Genomic DNA, 18974 nt, shown 5'->3' on the forward strand with positions numbered 1-18974 from the left:
ACGAAATCGACTTTTAAGGAACTCAACAGATGCACTGGAGTTAAGGAAATCCCTTCTGAGAAGTCAGAGGTCCCAGAGTTACACAAAGCCGTTCCCGGCAGCGCGAAACATTTCAGATGTGGTGCAGTGAAAGCAAAGGAGTCCTCGGCGGCAGGTGAGCAATGGTGATGAACCGAAGCGCGCCAGGAGAAGGCCGGCGGGATTTCATATGAGTGCAGCTGAAATATGACTTCAGTACTTGAACCAATTCTTGTGAGTTAATGATAACCACTCCTTTCCACTCTCTGAAAGAGTGTGTGTGGCTCAGTACCTTTCTTTTTCTAACCTCTTGAGGGCCACAAGCTTAAATGTGCCAGAAGGAAAGTCTCCAGTGAGCTGGAAATGTAGTCTCGATACTTAGCTTGTTCAAATATATGATGTTTATCTGAAGCCACACCTGAACGTGTCTAAGAGCATCTCCTTTTACCAGTACCTGCAAGGTTCAGGCTCTGTGGAAGATAGGGGATATGGCAGGAGCTGGACCACGAATATGGATACCAAGATTTACATTCCTTAAAAGACCCACAGAACACCCAGCTTTCGATGAGCCAAGTTACCACAGCGGGGCACCTTTCAAAAGCTATATAACTAGGGACTTCTACCATGTAGACTCATATTTGCTATTTTGCTCCAACAAGCGTTATCTAAAATAGGAGGGCTGAACACAAGGTCATACAGGCCACTTTGTAGACTGACCCCAGTGCTTCCCAATATTCAAAGAACTGGAGAGAAATGATTTGTCACTGTGTACTACTGTACCTTCTCTGGGGGATGTCTCTTACAGCCCTTCAAAGTCTGAATCTCCAGACTAATATTTACTGTTAGACTCTGGAGCTATAGTGCTCCTGAATCACTAGAAATTGCTAATGAAAATTTGGGTAGGAAGTCATCTCTTGGTATGGGCCAATGAATGGCCTGAAACCCTTCCACGTGGTGCTCTGAGATTCAGGCATCCTGATGCTTTTATCTGCAGCTGGAGGAAATGCTTCTGTAAGGAAAGGGAAGAAAAGGGAAAGAAGGGCAATAAGGGGAGGGAAGAGAAGGGAAAAGAAAAGAAAGAGAGAGGATAGGAGAGGAAGAGAGGAAAGGAGAAGGAACAAAAGAAAAAAGGAAGGAAAGAGAGGATGAATAAGAATACAAATTGCTTACTTAAGCTGTTACTGCATCTTTTACTACTACCTTTGGAGTTCTTCAGGGAAGAGTAAATGTGCACTCTCAATTTAGATGAAACACTGCTTTTAAGCTGTCTGCATTTCATTCAGATAACAAGTATTTAACACTTTTTTGGTGTGTCAGGTACACACTATGCATGTAGTGGCAAAAATGCATACATAATGTCCCTGTTTCCCCGTCCCTGCCCTTCTGGTACTTATTGTCTAATGAAAGAGACCAACAGCTTAGCTTACCAACAAATTACCATTATAATTGTGATAATTACTATGAAGGAAAAGTAAGGGCTCCCTGGGGGAGTAAAACAGGGAGACCTAATCTAGATAGGATGTTATGGAAGTTTGTTTTGTCTGAGTAACAGACATTTAGGCTGAGTCTTTAAAGAACATTGCAAAATAGCTGGTAAAGAATGTGTGGAGGGATTGGAGAATCACTTCTTAGGCAGAGGGAACAGAACTTGGAAAGTCCCTGAGGACATGAACCCGGCATTGGGGAGGAGCTTAAAACAAGAGCATTGGGAATCAAAGGGAAGAGAGCAACTGGGAAAGTTGAACACTGAGATAGGGGTGGCAATTCTGGGTAAAGGGCATGTAGGATTTGGAGGCAAGGCACAGATTTAGTGGAATGGCATTGAATGGAAGTGATGTGAAGAGCAGAGGTAGACACGAGCTGGGAGGTGACTACAGTTCCTTGGGAGAGAGATGGCAGCATCTGTGAGTGAGAGGCACGGACAAGTGTGTGGACAGCAAAAATGGAGAGGAGCAGGCTGACTGGAGAGAGTCAGGGAACTGTGTACGTCAGGCCTCTGAGCCCAAGCCAAGCCATCGCATCCCCTGTGACTTGCACGTATACGCCCAGATGGCCTGAAGTAACTGAAGAATCACAAAAGAAGTGAATATGCCCTGCCCTACCTTAACTGATGACATTCCACCACAAAAGAAGTGTAAATGGCCGGTCCTTGCCTTAACTGATGACATTACCTTGTGAAAGTCCTTTTCCTGGCTCATCCTGGCTCAAAAAGCACCCCCACTGGGCACCTTGCGACCCCCACTCCTGCCCGCCAGAGAACAAACCCTCTTTGACTGTAATTTTCATTTACCTACCCAAATCCTATAAAACTGCCCCACCCTTATCTCCCTTCGCTGACTCCCTTTTCGGACTCAGCCCGCCTGCACCCAGGTGAAATAAACAGCCATGTTGCTCACACAAAGCCTGTTTGGTGGTCTCTTCACACAGACGCGCATGAAAGTGTAAGGCTTGGGTGTCAGTGGAGTGGGACAAATAAAAGATGGTCCAGGCTTTTGGCTTGAGAATTGCTCAAGTGGAGGCACTCATGCCTGAGATGGGGAAGATGGGAGAGGAACAGGCTAAGGGGAGAAGTACTAAACAGTTAATTTTAAGAATTATCATATAAACGTTGTGTTAAAGCTGCTCTGGTTAAATTGCTGTTAAGCAAGGGTTCTGAAATCAGGCATAACAGTTTGAATTCTGGCTCTCTTATTTTCTACCTGGGCAAGTTATTTTATTTCCTCTGATTTCTCAAATAGGGATTCTTAAGTCTATCTCTTAAGGTAAAAATGCAATGTAATAATGTTTATAAAATACCTTGAACATCATAGGAACTTAGTAAATAAAAATTACTATTACTATAATGGCAATGTATTATGTTAGAGAAAAGACTCAGTTTTGACTTTGACACTTATAAACTGTCATACAGGCAAAAAAAAAATGTATTTGAGATTTCTTATCTTTAAAACCAGCCAAATTACCCTCTTTTCCTACGTCATGAAGAATATAAAAATGATAATTACAACTCTAACATTTTTTATTTAGTCTTGAACCTATACCATTGATAAGTGATAAGAGGCCTTGGAGTGAAATAGTCTTTGTACTACAAGGAGGAGAAGATTATAAATATTTATAGCCTGTGACCACAGGAGCTCTGTGAAAAACAGTACTGTAAAGAGAATAGTGCATTGGGGGAAAGGTATTATTTAAGGTCAGTCTCATGATCACTGAGAAGGAGCAAAAAGATCCCTAGGACATCCAAATGTCAACTACAAAGTTCTTACATAATATTTTGGAAATGTAGCCTTCAACATTAAGTGTATGGTGACCATGAAGCCTATTATGCTCTGTATCTTTTGTTTAGAAAATGGGATTTATTGTCCTCTTAAGTTGCAAATGAATTCACTAGCCTTGTGTGAACTGACCTATCACTGTGGAAGTCATGTGGATTCTTCCATTCATCAAAAAGTGACAGACTCCCATGTCATCACAGCCCTTTCAGTCTTTTTCTCAAAAAACAAGAGGTAGCCTGCTTACCTTAAATAGGTTATCATGAGGATAAAATATGATGAAGATTATAAAAGTGCATATTAAACCAAAAGTACTCTAAATATAAGAAATTATTTTGGATATTATTACATTTGGGAGAAAGGCTCAAAATCAAATACTCTTCATTTATTTGTTCATTTATTTGCTTCATCAACCAATAAACAAATAATATCTTTTATGTACAGGGCACAACAGAGGATACAATATGGGTAGAAATAGCTTCTGTTGTCAAGGAGTTTATAATGCTTAGGAGGAGAGACAGTCACACACACAGATAACTATAGTACTACACTGAATGGGGCAGAGACTATAGGAAGCATCTAAAAAAAGATAAGATGGTATGGGAGTTATTAGAATAGAGGTATTTCCTTTAGCTGGGTTTACCAGGATAACTCTAAGAACAGGCTGGGTACAATGGCTCATGCCTGTAATACCAGCACTTTTGGGAGGTCAAGGCGAGAAGATCACTTGAGCCCAGGAGTTCAAGATCAGCCTGGGCAACACAGGGAGACCCTGTCTCTACAAAAAAATAAAAATACAAAATTATCCAGGCATGGTTGTGCACGCCTGTAGTCCCAGCTACTCAGGAGGCTGAGGTGGGAGGATAGCTTGAGCCCAGGGGGTCAGGGCTGCTGTGAACCTACCACCTCACAACAGCCTGGGCGACAGAGCCAAGATCTTATCTCAAAAAACAAACAAAAAACCCCAAGAAACAGGAACAATTTTGAAAGGCTGTAATAGCAGAGTAAGAAAATTAATCTCATAACAACAACAATAATAAAACAACAATAAAAGCAGATTTCAAAATTTTCTATATGTGCCAAAAATGTGTCAAGTGCTTTAAAGGTATTAACAACTTTGATCATCACAATAACCATAGGAAGGAGCTGCTATGACCAATCCCCATTGTACAGACTTAGAACGGTCACACATCCAGTAAGTTGCAGAGCCAGGAAACAAATCTGAGTCCTTTTAATCACAATACTCTATTGTCTCCAGATAGGACGAAAGTCATGAAGAAACAGAAAAACATAGTAAAACCTCGGTGACAAATCATTAGGTGTTCAGTGTGGCTGAAGCACAACAAAAAACAAATCTAGCAGAGGTAGGTCTGGGAAAGGCTGGGTAGAGTCTTAGTGTTAGACTAAAAATTGTGGTCTTTATTTTATAACTAACAGGGAGATGTCTAAATAGGGACGATGGGAATTGTGAGAACAGATGTCAATGTTATGAGAGAGAGTCTTTAGAGACAGAAAAGGTAAAGAGGTTCAGGGAAAAATTTCACAGTGAGTCTCTTGCATTTTACTTGTTCTTAAGTAAAATAATTCAGTAGGAGAGGTGATCTGTGTAATAGTCAATCATTCAATGTTCCATGTGAATGACTCCATTAGATGCTACAGTGATTTTCAGTGAGGACAAGTCCAACCTGTGATGCCCCCATAGAGATCAGGTGAAAGCTTGCTGGCTTTTCCATTTCCTATTTTACTGCTACCAATAGAATGTCTTCAGGTAGTAAGAACTAGGTGTTACAGAAAGAAGACATTGTATATTGGTGTGCTCTCAAAAGAAATTCACATTAAAAGTATGATCTCAACCTGCTTCTGAGAATTTGCAGTAGAGAAACTCTTCTTTAATCTTAAAAGTAAACCAGAGGGTCCTTACCAAAATGCTCTGACCTCCTGACCTCAAGACAGTTTCAGGGCAGTTTCTATCACGGTTGTGAAACCTGTGTCACACAGAAGAGCCAGGAGACAGGGGACTCAGTGGGTGTTACTGTATTGAGCAACTGTACCCTCCTGGGTGATCTCACAGGTGTATCTAGGAGTCATTTTCAGTGTCAAAGTCATAGAAACAAGTAGTAAAATAGTTTATCTCCTTGACAGCATGACTGTTGGAGTTAACCTGGTATTTTAACACCCACTGGTATACCAGAAATAATTCTTAAAAAAATAATTTTATTACATACCAAGTACTGAAGTTAATACTGTTGGACAAAGATAGCTTAAACATGGAGAAAATTACGTCACGCCTGGTGGGGAATATTGTAGTCTTGTTTCTTTTGAAGCTATATACTATTATATAATGGCTAATGGAAGGTAAAAAAGAAGAATATTTTTTTCCCCAGTGAATGACTGGAGCTCATTTTATTAAGAGGAATGTAAAATTAGTATACAATCACAGAGAAAAGTAATCTTAATTAGTACTTAATAGCACTCTATAAAAGATGGCCTCAGACTGACCTTGTGATCAATAGAAGTGCTTGCCTGCTACTCTTCTCAAAAGGAAAAGCCATTCTTGTCTAACTAATACATATACATGACCTCAAAGAAACTCATCACACAAAGAGAGATCGCCTCCCCTGACAGAATTCAGTCAGTTTTTCCTATTTTTAAAATATGCTAAAATTAAAGGGATAATTTTCTCCCTAAAAGACATGTTTCATTTTAGAAGTCCCATATATAATCTGAAAAGGAGGGAATTTTAACCAACTTCCCATTAATTTAGTAAATATCTCAGAATGCTAAGATCAAAATCTTCACAGATAATGGCTTCACAGCAGCATGTTGGCTTTACACCTACTGTGAGAATGCTGGGAAGTAATCTTTGAAAAATTTGTAATTGTCAATGGGACTACTGGGTTTGATGTGATTAACAAGAGAAATGATCAACTTTCCTTCTTAGATAGTGATTTTAGCTATAATCACTTTAAATTGGTTAAACTATTTTTATTTATAGCATTTTTGTTTTGTATTTATGGTTACATCAATGAAAAAAGCAGTGATGATAAATTCTGAAATATTTTAAGAGAATTTATCAGGTCCAGAGACAGAATAGTGGAGCTGGAAGGACCTCTGAGATGATATAGTCTGGTCTCCTTATGTTACGAGTTAGGAGTAGTGGCCCAAAGATTTTTAAAAAACCCTTCTGATTCTATCACAATGGATATTACCTAAAATATAATCAATTTGGCCCTTAGAGAAAAATTTATAAGTTATTTGTCCATGTTACTCCTACTCTGAATCAACTACTCATCACCATGGTACCTAATACAATGCTAAGCTTCTAGAAGGAGCTCCTAAATTATATTCTACAGTATTTTGTATTCTTACATTTGTGTTACTCAGGAATTTGAAAGTGGTTATGAATACCTCTAATATCATTTGGATGTCATTTCCAAATCTCATGTTGAAATGTAATTCCCAGTGCTGGAGGTGGGGCCTGGTGGGAGGTGTTTGGGTCATGGGGGCAGATTCCTCATGGCTTGGTGCTGTCCTCACTATAGTGTGTTCTCATAAGATTTGGCTGTTTAAAATTGTGTGGTACCCTCTCCTTCTCTCACTCTTGCTTATGCTCTTGTCCTGTGATGTGCCTGCTTCCACTTCACCTTCTGCCATGAGTAAAAGCTCACTGAGGCCTTCCAAGATGCCAAGTATATGCTGACACCATGCTTGTACAGCCTGCAGAACTGTGGGCCAATTAAACCACTCTTCTTTATAAATTACCCAGTCTCAGGTATTTCTTTATAGCAATGCAAGAATGGCCTAACATAATCTACACTAAAATCAGACTATCCAAATTACTTCAAAGACCCAGAAATGAACAATTAGCATATTAGAAATTGTTACATGAAGTTAGGCATGAGCAGGGCAGGAGAGGGCTCTGCTCCCCACCTACGAGGAATGTCAGGTGATTATCAGGTGATGGTTTGGCAGTTATCACATTGCTGCTCTAAAAATGATAATTCAGCAGCCAGTGCACCAGGGAGAGATAATCTCCTGACGGTCCACAGCTGTCACAATGAAGTGTTAACTGAATGCAGACACCAGGGAGAGGCAACTTCCCAAACAGATAAAAACACTTAAAATTGGTAATTGGCTTTCAACAGGGTCTCAGAAATTGGGCGAGTGAACCGGGCACGTGCATTAAGAGACAAAATGGTGGACTATGACTTTTGGGGGCATCCCACCAGAAAAGGGAAGAAACCTTCAGATGGGCATGCATACAACTTCCTAAACACACTGCACATGCTCACTTCCCAAGCATAAGGAGGGCACATGCAGGCAGCCCACCCTAAGGGAGAAATCGTGGGAAAGAGGTGCAAGATGCTGAAGGTGGGCCAGCATATAAAGCCCCAGGGTCAAGGTTAAATGCCTGCTTGGGTCTCTTCCAAGTGTACTTTCCTTTCTTTCCCGTTCTAAAGCTTTCTAAAATAAACTTCCACTCCTGCTCCGAAAGCTTGCCTTGTTCTCTTTTTCTGCCTTATGCCCCTCAGTTGAATTCTTTCTTCTGAGGAGGCAAGAATCGAGGTTGCTGCAGACCCATACGGATTCGCCACTGGTAACCTGAATACCTTCTACCCCTAACAGAATGAGTTGTCAGGATACACATGTGCCCCCTGAGCTGAAAGAAACAATCAGAGTGTGGTGAACAGGAGGCTGCAGGCCTAAGGGAGAAAAGCTTGGGGGAGCCTACAGTGGCTATGAAGAGAGAGACTGGGACTCTGCCAGAAACTTCCCATTCCTCCCAAATATCTGTTCTGGGAAATGTGAGGTTAGAAAGAGAAGACTGTTGACCACTTGGGACAGGAACTTTTCATAGGGATCTTTTTGAGAGTGTATACAAGTTAGGCTGTCTTGGAGCTAGGCTGGCTAAAACAAAAAGGTCATTGTGTAGAGCGGGAATCACAAACCCAAGTGCCTGAGGGACAGGCATGATGGTGACTTGCTATAAGGCTGTACTGTCAGGGAAATGATTTGGACAAACTGGTGAGAACATCCCCATCAAGAGGGGCAGTCTGAGAGTCAACTCAAGCTAAGGGTTACATGCAGGAATGTTGGCCCAGTGATGTCGAATTACTAAGAGTAACCCAATATTTAGATTTATTCTAAATACAAAGTCTCTCTTTTTAGGTGTTGAAAGCAAATTCCAACTTCTCAAAAACATTGTGAAGGCTGAAAAATACATGTTCCACAGCCATGCCCTCCAGTTTGTTGCCTCTTGTAGAGGGTGTAAAAAATGGGGATTAGTTACAGTGAAAAGATGACAACAAACTATTCTATTATTCAGATTTATCATATAGAAAGCCTCTGAAACTGAATTAGATATGGACTGGTTCTTTGGTCTAGTGGCTTGAATCTCACTTGGGTCTCTAAGTGGGTGTGGGATGGTAATAAGATGCATTTGTAATCATATGTACCTGTAGTGCTCAGGTAGATGGTGTAGGTAATCACAGTGCTCTTTTCCTTTAAATTTCAAAATCCTTCAAGCCTCAACAATCTTCAAACTGCAAAATCCTTCTCAATGCAGTATTTCAGATGGCCACCACCAGTTAATCAGAGATGACATAAAAAATAGAAAATCATTGACTCCCCCTGGCCTAGATGAGCCTCATATATAATGTACATAGTTTTGTGATACTTTATCATTTATTTGTCCAAGAATATCCAGAGAAAGATAATAAAACATGCTGTAGTCAAATATGGAGATTAGAAAAAATCTCAAAAGCTACTTATTCATTTGTTTGAAAAATATTATTGAGAGTATCCTTTATGCCAGGCACATTGCTAGGCATTGGAGTTGCTCTAGCTGATAACCTCTAAACAATTGGTTAGACTTCCAACTACTGGCATTTCTTTTCTAGTCGGTTCCTGTCTCTTTGTCTTGATTTTGGTGGACAGTCCCATGACAGGCAGAATTTCTGAATTTATCCCCCAAAGATTCCATGCCCTAAGCCACAGATTCTGTTAATATGATGATACAATATATAACTCCAATGACTATGTTATGTCATTTGGCATCAGGGACCTTAAAAGGGGAGATTATGTGGGTGGTCCCAAGGTCATCAAATGAGTCCTTAAAAGTAGAGGACTTTCTCCAACTAGTAGTATGAGAAGAAGGCAGAGGAGAAAGTCAGAGATATATGAAATACGAGGACTCAATGAACCGTTGCTGTCTTGAAGATGGAGGGCCATGTCAGAAGAAATGTGGGTGGTTTCTAGGAACAGCGAATGATTCCAGAGAGCAGACAGCAAGGAAATGAGGACCTTGGACTGACTCCAAGGAATTGATTCTGCCAACAACCTGCGTTAGCTTGGAAGGGATTATTTCCCAGACCTTACAGATAAGAGCTTAGCCTGCTGTCATCCTGACCTAGGCCTTGTGAGATCCTAAGCAAAAAACTCATCCACGCCTGCCTGGATTTCTAACTTATAAAACTGTAAATCACTACCCTTTGTGGCATTTTGCTACAATGTAATAGAAAAATAATACAGTAATGGTGGGAGGGGTTGGTGTGGGGAACCCAAGAGCAACATCTATCTAAATATTAGAGAATAATTTTATATATTCTTCCAAGCTTCTGTGTTTAATTCTTTAAAAAAATTCCAAAAAGTAACCCAAAAGTTTGTTGGAATGTATAGCTTATATGTACCAATTTTGGCATTTATTTTGCATTCAGTAGCCAGGATGAGTTTGTAACACATAACTGAAAAAAGGCTTGTATACACAATATATAAGGAAATCATATAAACCAATAAGAAGAATAGAATTATCCAATAGAAAGAAAATGGATCAGAACACTTGAGCAGACCATTTCACAAAAATATCTATATGGCCAATATTAAAAGGTACTCAACATTCTTATTCATCTGGGAAATAGACATTAAAACCACAATGAGATATTATTATATTCTTTTCAGAATGGTTAAAATGAAAAAGACTGACAATACCAAGTGCTGGTGAGGATGTGAAGGATGTGAAACTGTTAGTGGGAGTGTAAATTGGTGCAACCACTTAGGAAACACTCGTTGGCAGTATCTACTAAAGCATGTAACTGACATGTAACCTAAGGCCTAGCAATTCCACTCTTAGGTATAATCTTATGGAAATGCATACATATGTTCCCCAAAAGACAAATATTAGAATGTTCACAATAGTATTATTTATAGGAGTGGCAAGCTGAAAAATACCCAAATAGTAATCAAATAAGGAAGTATTCAAATTGTGATCTATTCACACAATGGAATACTATAAAACAATGAAAAAGAATGAACTATTGCTATAGACAACAATATGATACAATCTCACAAACATAATTTGGGCAAAAGAACCCAGCTACCAAAGAAATACACTGTATGATTTCATTTATATAAAGTTTAAAGTCCAGCAAAATGAATCTCTGGTTTAGGAAATCAAGACAGGGGTTACACATGGGGAAGGGATGGGAGAAAACACAATGGGGCTTTTGGTGATAATAATTATGTTTCATTTCTTGACCTCGATGGAGAACACATAAATGAAAATTTAATAAGTTGTACAACTAAGATTTCAGTGCTTTTCTCTTTGCGTGTTGTACTATAATACAAAAGTAAATTTTAAAGCATACTCTATTCTAATTTAGTAATATAAAAGTAACTAAAAATTCATAACCTTTCCTAAACTAGGGTAACTCTTTTCTCACCCGCTAGTTTTATCTCCAGAAACATAGTAAGTGGCTCTGAGTTTGAATATGTAAAAGGGAATGAGGAAGGTGGGAGCCAGAGTATTCTGCAAAAATAAACCTTTTTTTTTCCTCTAAAAAACAGAGAACGTATAAGAAAATCCAATTTTTATCTTAGAAAAATAACATTCTAAGTAAAATACCATTGTCATTTAAAACTTATAGACTTCTTTTATATAGGGAAACCCTCTGAACTTCCCTTTAATGACATTTTCCTTGAAAGGAAAGTTAAGTCGGTAACCCACAAGGAAGCTTGTGTGTCGTGTTATAAATACTTTAGCAGCCCTTGGAAAACTGTTTCCAGCTCATTGAGATCACCTGTAAGAAACTGATAAAGTATGGGCCATGCGTGGTGGCTCACGCCTGTAATCCCAGCACTTTGGGAGGCCGAGGCGGGTGGATCACGAGGTCAGGAGATGGAGACCATCCTGGCTAACATGGTGAAACCCTGTCTCTACTAAAAATACAAAAAATTAGCCGGGCATGGTAGCAGGCACCTGTAGTCCCAGCTACTTGGGAGGCTGAGTCAGGAGAATGGCGTGAACCCAGGAGGTGGAGCTTGCAGTGAGCCGAGATCGTGCCACTGCACTCCAGCCTGGGTGAAAGAGCGAGACTCCATTTCAAAAAAAGAAAAAAAAAAAGAAATCAATAAAGTATGAATAGTGGCTAATTTACTCTTGCGACTGGTAGAAGTTTTATATCTTGATATCCCCCCAAAATAAAATACAAACTATAGCCAAGATGCAGTTGTGATAATGCCAATAAACCTATAGTTTTTGACTGCAAGGGAGTTAATAATCTCTTCTGAAGACTCATAGCAGTCTTGATAAAAAGGAATTATTTAAAAATTGCTATTTTATGTTTGCTCAAGATTAAAGGCGTATAAGTAAGGACTACCCATGTAGCTGCTGGGCAAAGATATAATACCATAGGGCATTCCTTTCTTTCTTTCTTTCTTTCTTTCTTTTTTTTTACAGAGGGATCTTGCTCTTCCACCCATTCTGGAGTGCAGTGGTGTGATCATAATTCATGGCAGCCTCAAACTCCTGACCTGAAACAATCCTCCAGCCTCCGCATCCTCAGTATCTAAGACTACAGATGGGTGCTACCATGCCTAGCTAACACTGTAGGGCATTTCTAAGGAAATGATAAAACTTTTCTCAGTATCCTTGGTTTTGCATGCTAGCATAATCTAGGTGATCAAAAAGAAAGGTTTGAAGCTGAGCAAGGAAAGTAACAGCTAAAGGGAAAGACAGAGATTTACAGGAATTCAGAAAAATGTCATAGGTAGATTAAGAGGTGTTGTGATTGAAAGATCCACGATGTCATTGTGCAATGTAAGATAAAATCATGTAGTAACTTCATTTTAAACCTACAGCATAAACATTGATGTTCTGCTACATTCTACACATACCGCTTAATGATGATGATTCATAAGAACAGCTAATCTATGGGTGAACACATTGTTCAATTCACAGTTGTCTTTAAGTGCCTTCTAGGTATGTGTGAGGGCTCCACATTAGGTGTTATGGAAATACTCAGATAAAGATGATTGGTTAGTGTCCCCACAGAGTTTGTAGAACTAGTGGCACAACAGAAAAACACACAGATTATTAAGGTAAAGTAAAATGTAAATACTTTCAAGAGTCACCAGGAAAGTATTACAGAGAGTGCTCCTTCCTCTCTCAAAAGGAAAAATGAGAGATTGAATAATCCAAATAAGAACAGGATGAATGAGGGAGATGGATTTGACCTGGGCCGGTACTATAGTTTTGCAAAGTTTGTGCATAGGAATACTAGATATTGGGCACAACAGTGGGAAAGCTCAGGGCATTTGGGAAAAATATTTTAGTTATTGTTCCATCTTTATTATCAACTACAATAGTTTGTTGGTTATATTTGAAAGCTACTAAGATCACTGTAAACATTAACTGTCTCTCGTTACAATTACTCTACAGTGAGCCTTGTTTTATTCAGCCAGCAAGAATTTCATGGTTACTGACTGCCGTCTGTGGTTCTCCCCAGGGAAGGAAGTTATAAAATAGACAACTATTAGAGAATCATGTAATTTTAAAAATCCAGAGCAAGTTACAAGTCAGTACAGATTTGGCACAATCTTCTACATCTCTTGTCTCTGTAACACCTGCCCAAGGATTGGTGTTCAGAATGATGTTCTTGAGATAATTGTGTGCTCCTCCACCAAAGACTCAAGTACCTAACTTAATATATATTCTCAGGGACATATTTTATAAATATTTTAGCAAAGGTCTAAGCAAAATAAGTATTCCGATGAACTTATAGAAAATAAAATGATCCAGAACATGTCATTTCCAAATATGCTTCCTAGCAACAATTCAATGTTGTCACAGAGTGAACCATCAGCTACATCTTAATTCAGCATAATAGGAGACTTGAGGTTCATTTTAGAGAAGTGGAGCATTAAGAGCCAATTAAATTTCTTGGTATTCACTAACAGTTTGGTTAAGGCGAGCACTTTACATGTATTCACTCACTTCATCTTTTCATCAGTCCTATGAAGAAGTACTACCATCATCCCTATTTTAGAGATGGAAAAGTTGAAGCTTGGAGAGGTTAAATATTGTCCAAGGTCAACAGAGAGCCAAAATCCAAAACCAAATTTGTCTGACTTTAAAAGGCACTGTATTTTACTACAGTCATTGCTTTCAGAACTTTTTTCCTTAGATGTTCATGCTTTCCAAAGACATGGACCCAAATGCCCATTAATCACAGACTGGATAAAGAAAATGTGATACATATACACTATAGAATATTATGCAGCCATAAAAAGGAATGAGTTCATGTCCTTTGCAGGAACATGGATGGAGCTGGAAGCCATTATCCTCAGCAAACTAATGCAGGAACAGAAAATCAAACACTGCATGTTCTCACTTATAAGTGAGAGATGAATGATGAGAACACATGGACACATGGAGGGGAACAACACACACTGGGGCCTGTCACGGGGGCAGGGGAAGGGAGAGCATCAGGAAGAATAGCTACTGGATGCTGGGCTTAATACTTAGGTGATGGGTTGATCCGTGCAGCAAACCATGATGGCACAAGTTTACCTATGTAACAAACCTGCACATCCTGCACATGTACCCCTGAACTTAAAAGTTGAAGAAGAAAAAAAAAAGATGCTCATGCTTTCCTTATACTTTTATGTTACTTTTCCAACCACAGGGCTCTCAGACCCAATCATTTGGTAATATAGTTCAACCATATTGAAGTGGAAGTTTTTCCCATATGCATTTTAAATAATTTGTTCACAATTTATTGAGCACATATGATGTGCCAAGCACCACATATGCATTAACCCTTCTGCTCCTCATAGCAACTTCTGAGGGTGGTAGTGTAATTACTACCATTTTACACAGGAAAAATCTGGCCTCCATGACTCCACGCTTGGCCTTCGTTCACTGTCTCCATCAGTGCATTGGCCTCCTCAATTTATTCTATAGGGCCCTCTACGCATTCCTGGTTAACTACTGGATGGTCTCAGAGCTCAGTCCTTGGGCCTCTCTCTTCTCTGTCTAAGCTTTCTCCCCTACGTATCTCATCTAGCCTTGCAATATAAGTGATGATGACTTAAAAATTTATATCTTCTGCTCTGACCTGTGTACTGAACTCCCCCCAAAATACTCAACTTTCAACTCATACCTCCACTTACATGATTGACAGGCATCTCAGACTTAGCATATCCAAAATTGAACTCTTAATTTTTCTTCAAACTTATTTTTCTCAGTCTTCCTTATTTCAAAAAAATTGTCCTTAAAATGTCAACACAGACTAAATTAAACTTTATTTAATAAAACTGATAGTTTCAATAGCTTTCCTAAACAGACCACTGAATTTGCTAAAGTTTATCATTTGAGATTTACTGAATAAATATATCTGACTCCAGGGTTGAGGTATTGATATCTATATTGTACACACATACACCACACACACACACTTTCTAAGAAATAATTTGTGTACTTGTAATAGTATGTAAATAAATCAAAGTATTATTAATGAAAGTAAAACCAAAGCCATAAGCATGTCTCACTGGCAATGAAAAGGTGCTCCACATTGTTATTCATCCAGGAAATGTATATCAAACTTAAAATGAGATACTACCACATGCTGATCAGAATGGTTAGAATGAAACAGGCAGAGAATACTGATATGGTTTGGCTGTGTCCCCATCCAAATCTCATCTTGAATTGTAGCTCTCACAATTCCCACGTGTTGTGGGAAGGGCATGGTGGGAGGTAATTGAATCATGGTGGTGGGTCTTTCCCATGCTATTCTCGTGATAGTGAATAAGTCTCATGAGATCTGATGGTTTTATAAAGGAGAGTTTCCCTGCACAAGTTCTCTTCTCCTGTCTGCTGCCATGGGAAATGTTCCTTTCACCTTCTGCCATGATTGTGAAGCCTCCCCAGCCATGTGGAACTGTGAGTCCGTTAAACCTCTTTCTTTTGTAAATTGCCTAGTCTTGAGTATGTCTTTATCAGCAGCATGAAAATGGACTAATACAAATACCAAGCACTAGTGAGGATGTGAAGCAAAGGAAACTCTCATATACTATTAGTGGGAATATAATATTTAACACTTAATTGTGTCTTAAAATGGCACCTATTATTTTCTTTGTCAATCCCACATCATCTACTTTGGGAAATTGCTATTTCTCTGGCTTATTCTGTTTGGGCCATTCAACATATGTTCTTGCCTTCCATACCACAGTTGTAGAGTGCACTATATCCCTGGACACAGTGCTCAGTATAGTGATCAGCATTTGCCCCAAGCTAAATCATTAAGAGTCTTTTAGAGGAGATCAGTCTTGTTTCTTTTTCTGGCATCACAAACTCTCAAAATAATGTAGACTTTTGGGTGGTAGGACCATCTTGCCATGACATAGGAGAGCCTTTCTCAGGCAAGGAGAACTGAGAGACAAAACTCCTATGACATTATTAAACTTGTTTCTAAAGCCAGGATATATCTTGGGCTTTTAAGGCTAATAAATTCCCTCCTTAGGCTAGTTGATATAGTTTGGCTTTGTGTTCCTACCCAAATCTCCTCTTGAATTGTAATCCCACATGTTGCTGGAGGGACCTGGTGGGAGGTGATTGGATCATGGGAGCAGTTTTCTCCCATGCTGTTCTCATGATAGTGAGTGAGTTCTCACAAGATCTGATGGTTTAAAAGTGCGTGGTGCTTCCTCTTTCTCTCTCTTGTCACAATGTAAGATGTGCCTTGCTTCTCCATGATTGTTAAGTTTCCTGAGGCCTCCCCAGCCATGCAGACTTGTGGGTCAATTAAACCTCTTTTCTTTATAAATTACCCAGTCTTAGGTAGTTCTTTAGAGCAGTGTGAAAACGGACTAACACAGAAAATTGGTATTGAGAGAAATGGGGCACTGCTATAAAGATACTCGAAAATGTGGAAGTGACTTTGGAACTCGATAACAGGCAGAGGTTGGAACAGTTTGGAGGGCTCAGAAGAAGATAGAAGATGTGGGAAAGTTTGGAAATTCCTAGAGACTTGTTGAATGGTTTTGACCAAAATGCTGATAGTGACATGTACATATACCACTGAACTATTGTTCCTTATCTAATTTAAGATCTTAAGTTTTTAACTGAAATTGTTGTATCTATTTAGCTTTATCTAAGAGTGATAGAAAGCTATTACAATGGAAGTCCATAAATAACTTTGAAGGGAAATAAACAACTGAGAAAAGTTTTTATGAAAAACAGATGACTAATGCCTTTAATATATAAATAGTTAATACAAGCCAATAAACAAAAAACTAAAAGCACCTCCAACTGAAAAATGAATAAAGGACATAAATGACAACAGAAAATGAAAATGACCATATGAAAAAATACTTACCTGCACTATAAATTTTTTGAGTTAAATTAAAATATAATGCAATGTTTACCTAACAAATCAGATATATTAAAAATGATAATATTCAATATTGACAAACCCTGATGAGATGTACACTTAAAGCATTGCTGGTAGTAATATAAAATAGTGCAACTTTTCTGGAAGACAATTGGAATTATGTATGAAATATATTTAACACATTGTCTAAATGAAATGAGAAATACAGACAAACATTTAGGTAGAAAGATATTCTTTTTAGTTATTTATAATAGCAATCTACTGGGAAATGGTTAAGTAAATATAGAATTTATTTTTGGGTGTAATATGAAGTAGGAATTTAATTTTCCCCAAGTGGCTAATTGTCCCAGCATCATTTACTTATTAGTTGAACATTTCTTCACTGATGTTTGACTATACCTCTGGTTCCATATGGACAGTGGTCTGTTTCAGGCATTTTATCCTCTTCTACTGGTCTCTTTATTATCCCATGTTAATATCAGATAGACTTAAGGCCACAATTTTAGAATGAGTCTTGATATTGGGTAGAACAATATTCTCTGTCTTCAGATTGTTTCAAAAATATTTTGACTATTTTTCCCTGCTTCCTTTTCTAACTTCATGTACATTTTAGAAACAGCTTATTCGGGTAACCTCAAAGATGCTTTTTTTGCGATTTTAAATAGAATTAAATTTGTTGATACATTTGGGAGAAATGACATATTTTAGCTATTAAAGCTTCCCCTCCAAGATCATAATATAGGTCTTTATGTATTTAAGTATTCTTTTATGCATCTGTATATGCATATGCATATCTATATCTATAATGGGTTCATGTAACTTCTATAAGGTTTATTCCTTTTGGAACCTTATAATTTTATTGCTATTATAAAGGATACCTTAAAATTTTAACTTTCTGTTTTGGCTGATATACAGAAAGGAAACTGATTTTTTGTATAATGATCTTATATTCAGCAACCTTGAGGAACTCTTAAAATGAGTTTCCTTCCTGATGGCCCACTTTCTCCTATAAGGAGCTGACTAGGAACTCTAGGGTGTGAAAACTGTCAGGTTTCATTCAGAATGTGAGAGTGAGTTGCAAAGAAGGCAAACAGGTAGGGACACCCCATTCCCTCCTGACCCTGGCAATAGTGAAACTTGGAGGGCTCTTCCCTAAAATGGTATCTATCCCAGTGGATGAGACCTTGTCTCTCTGATGTGGAATGCTGCAGCCTTACAGAGACTATTGTCTTCAGTCTGGGAGCTGGTTCCTTCTAAGCCTTTGGGTTTTAACCTGTTACCTCTTCACTGACTGCTCTATTTAAATCACCTGCCAACCCTCACCTGTGCCTGCCCTTATTCCCTATTACAGAATACTGTTCTTGTCCTTTATGGCAACGATCACACTTTATGAGTTTATTTGTTTGGTAATATTCTTGTTTACTGTCTGTTTTTCCTATCCATTGCAAGCTTCATAAGAGCAGGGACCAGGTCTATTTTGTTCACCTTCTTCCTGGTCCCTGCCATTTAGTTCAATAAATGTTTGTAGACTGAATACATGAGTTAGATGTCAAATACCTGCTTCAATTTTTAATGTTAACAATCCACTTGTCTCATCATTTAAAATATACCCTACTTATGTAATCTGATTTTATCTTCATAATTGTCTTTAAAATAGGGATGCTAGTCCCCATTTGACAAATAAGGCACAGGGAAATCAAATCATGTGCTCCAAATTAATATCTAGAAATTAGTAGAGTTGAAAACAGAACCCAAATCATCTAACTCAACATCTAATTAAAATAAAACATATAACAAAAAGAAGAGAGAAAGAAAGGAAGGAAGGAAGGATGGAGAGAAGAAAGGAGAGAGGAAAAAAGCAAGGTGGAAAGTAAGGGAGGCGATATTCATTTGTGAACTTTCCATGTCAAGGGCATACCACATCATTTATCCTTCTAAAAACTCCTTAAGTTTCATACTTTCCCATTAGGAAACCTCATAGTCTCCAGACATTTCAGGCCAGCAGACAGATTAAGAATAG

General features: G+C 38.5%; 1 protein-coding gene across 22 annotated transcripts in view, besides 3 other annotated features; it reads right to left on the reverse strand.

Moving 5' to 3' along the window:
- GRIP1 (glutamate receptor interacting protein 1) overlaps positions 1-18974 on the reverse strand; it is a 721908-nt gene that overhangs the window by 148341 nt on the left and 554593 nt on the right. The gene's annotated exons all lie outside the window — the stretch shown is intronic.
- Positions 1246-2094: an enhancer, noted in NCBI's record as "OCT4-NANOG-H3K27ac hESC enhancer chr12:66890797-66891645 (GRCh37/hg19 assembly coordinates)". NCBI's record gives its function as "activates a minimal SCP1, AML or CMV promoter by ChIP-STARR-seq in naive and primed H9 embryonic stem cells {active_cell/tissue: H9 hESC(naive and primed)}" and the evidence as "EXISTENCE:reporter gene assay evidence [ECO:0000049][PMID:30033119]".
- Positions 2095-2942: an enhancer, noted in NCBI's record as "OCT4-NANOG-H3K27ac hESC enhancer chr12:66891646-66892493 (GRCh37/hg19 assembly coordinates)". NCBI's record gives its function as "activates a minimal SCP1, AML or CMV promoter by ChIP-STARR-seq in naive H9 embryonic stem cells {active_cell/tissue: H9 hESC(naive)}" and the evidence as "EXISTENCE:reporter gene assay evidence [ECO:0000049][PMID:30033119]".
- Positions 4946-5055: an enhancer, noted in NCBI's record as "active region_6620". NCBI's record gives its function as "activates an Ori minimal core promoter by ATAC-STARR-seq in GM12878 lymphoblastoid cells {active_cell/tissue: GM12878}" and the evidence as "EXISTENCE:reporter gene assay evidence [ECO:0000049][PMID:35858748]".

This window comes from Homo sapiens, chromosome 12 (assembly GCF_000001405.40).
Source record: "Homo sapiens chromosome 12, GRCh38.p14 Primary Assembly".
Taxonomy (NCBI): Eukaryota; Metazoa; Chordata; class Mammalia; order Primates; family Hominidae; genus Homo; species Homo sapiens.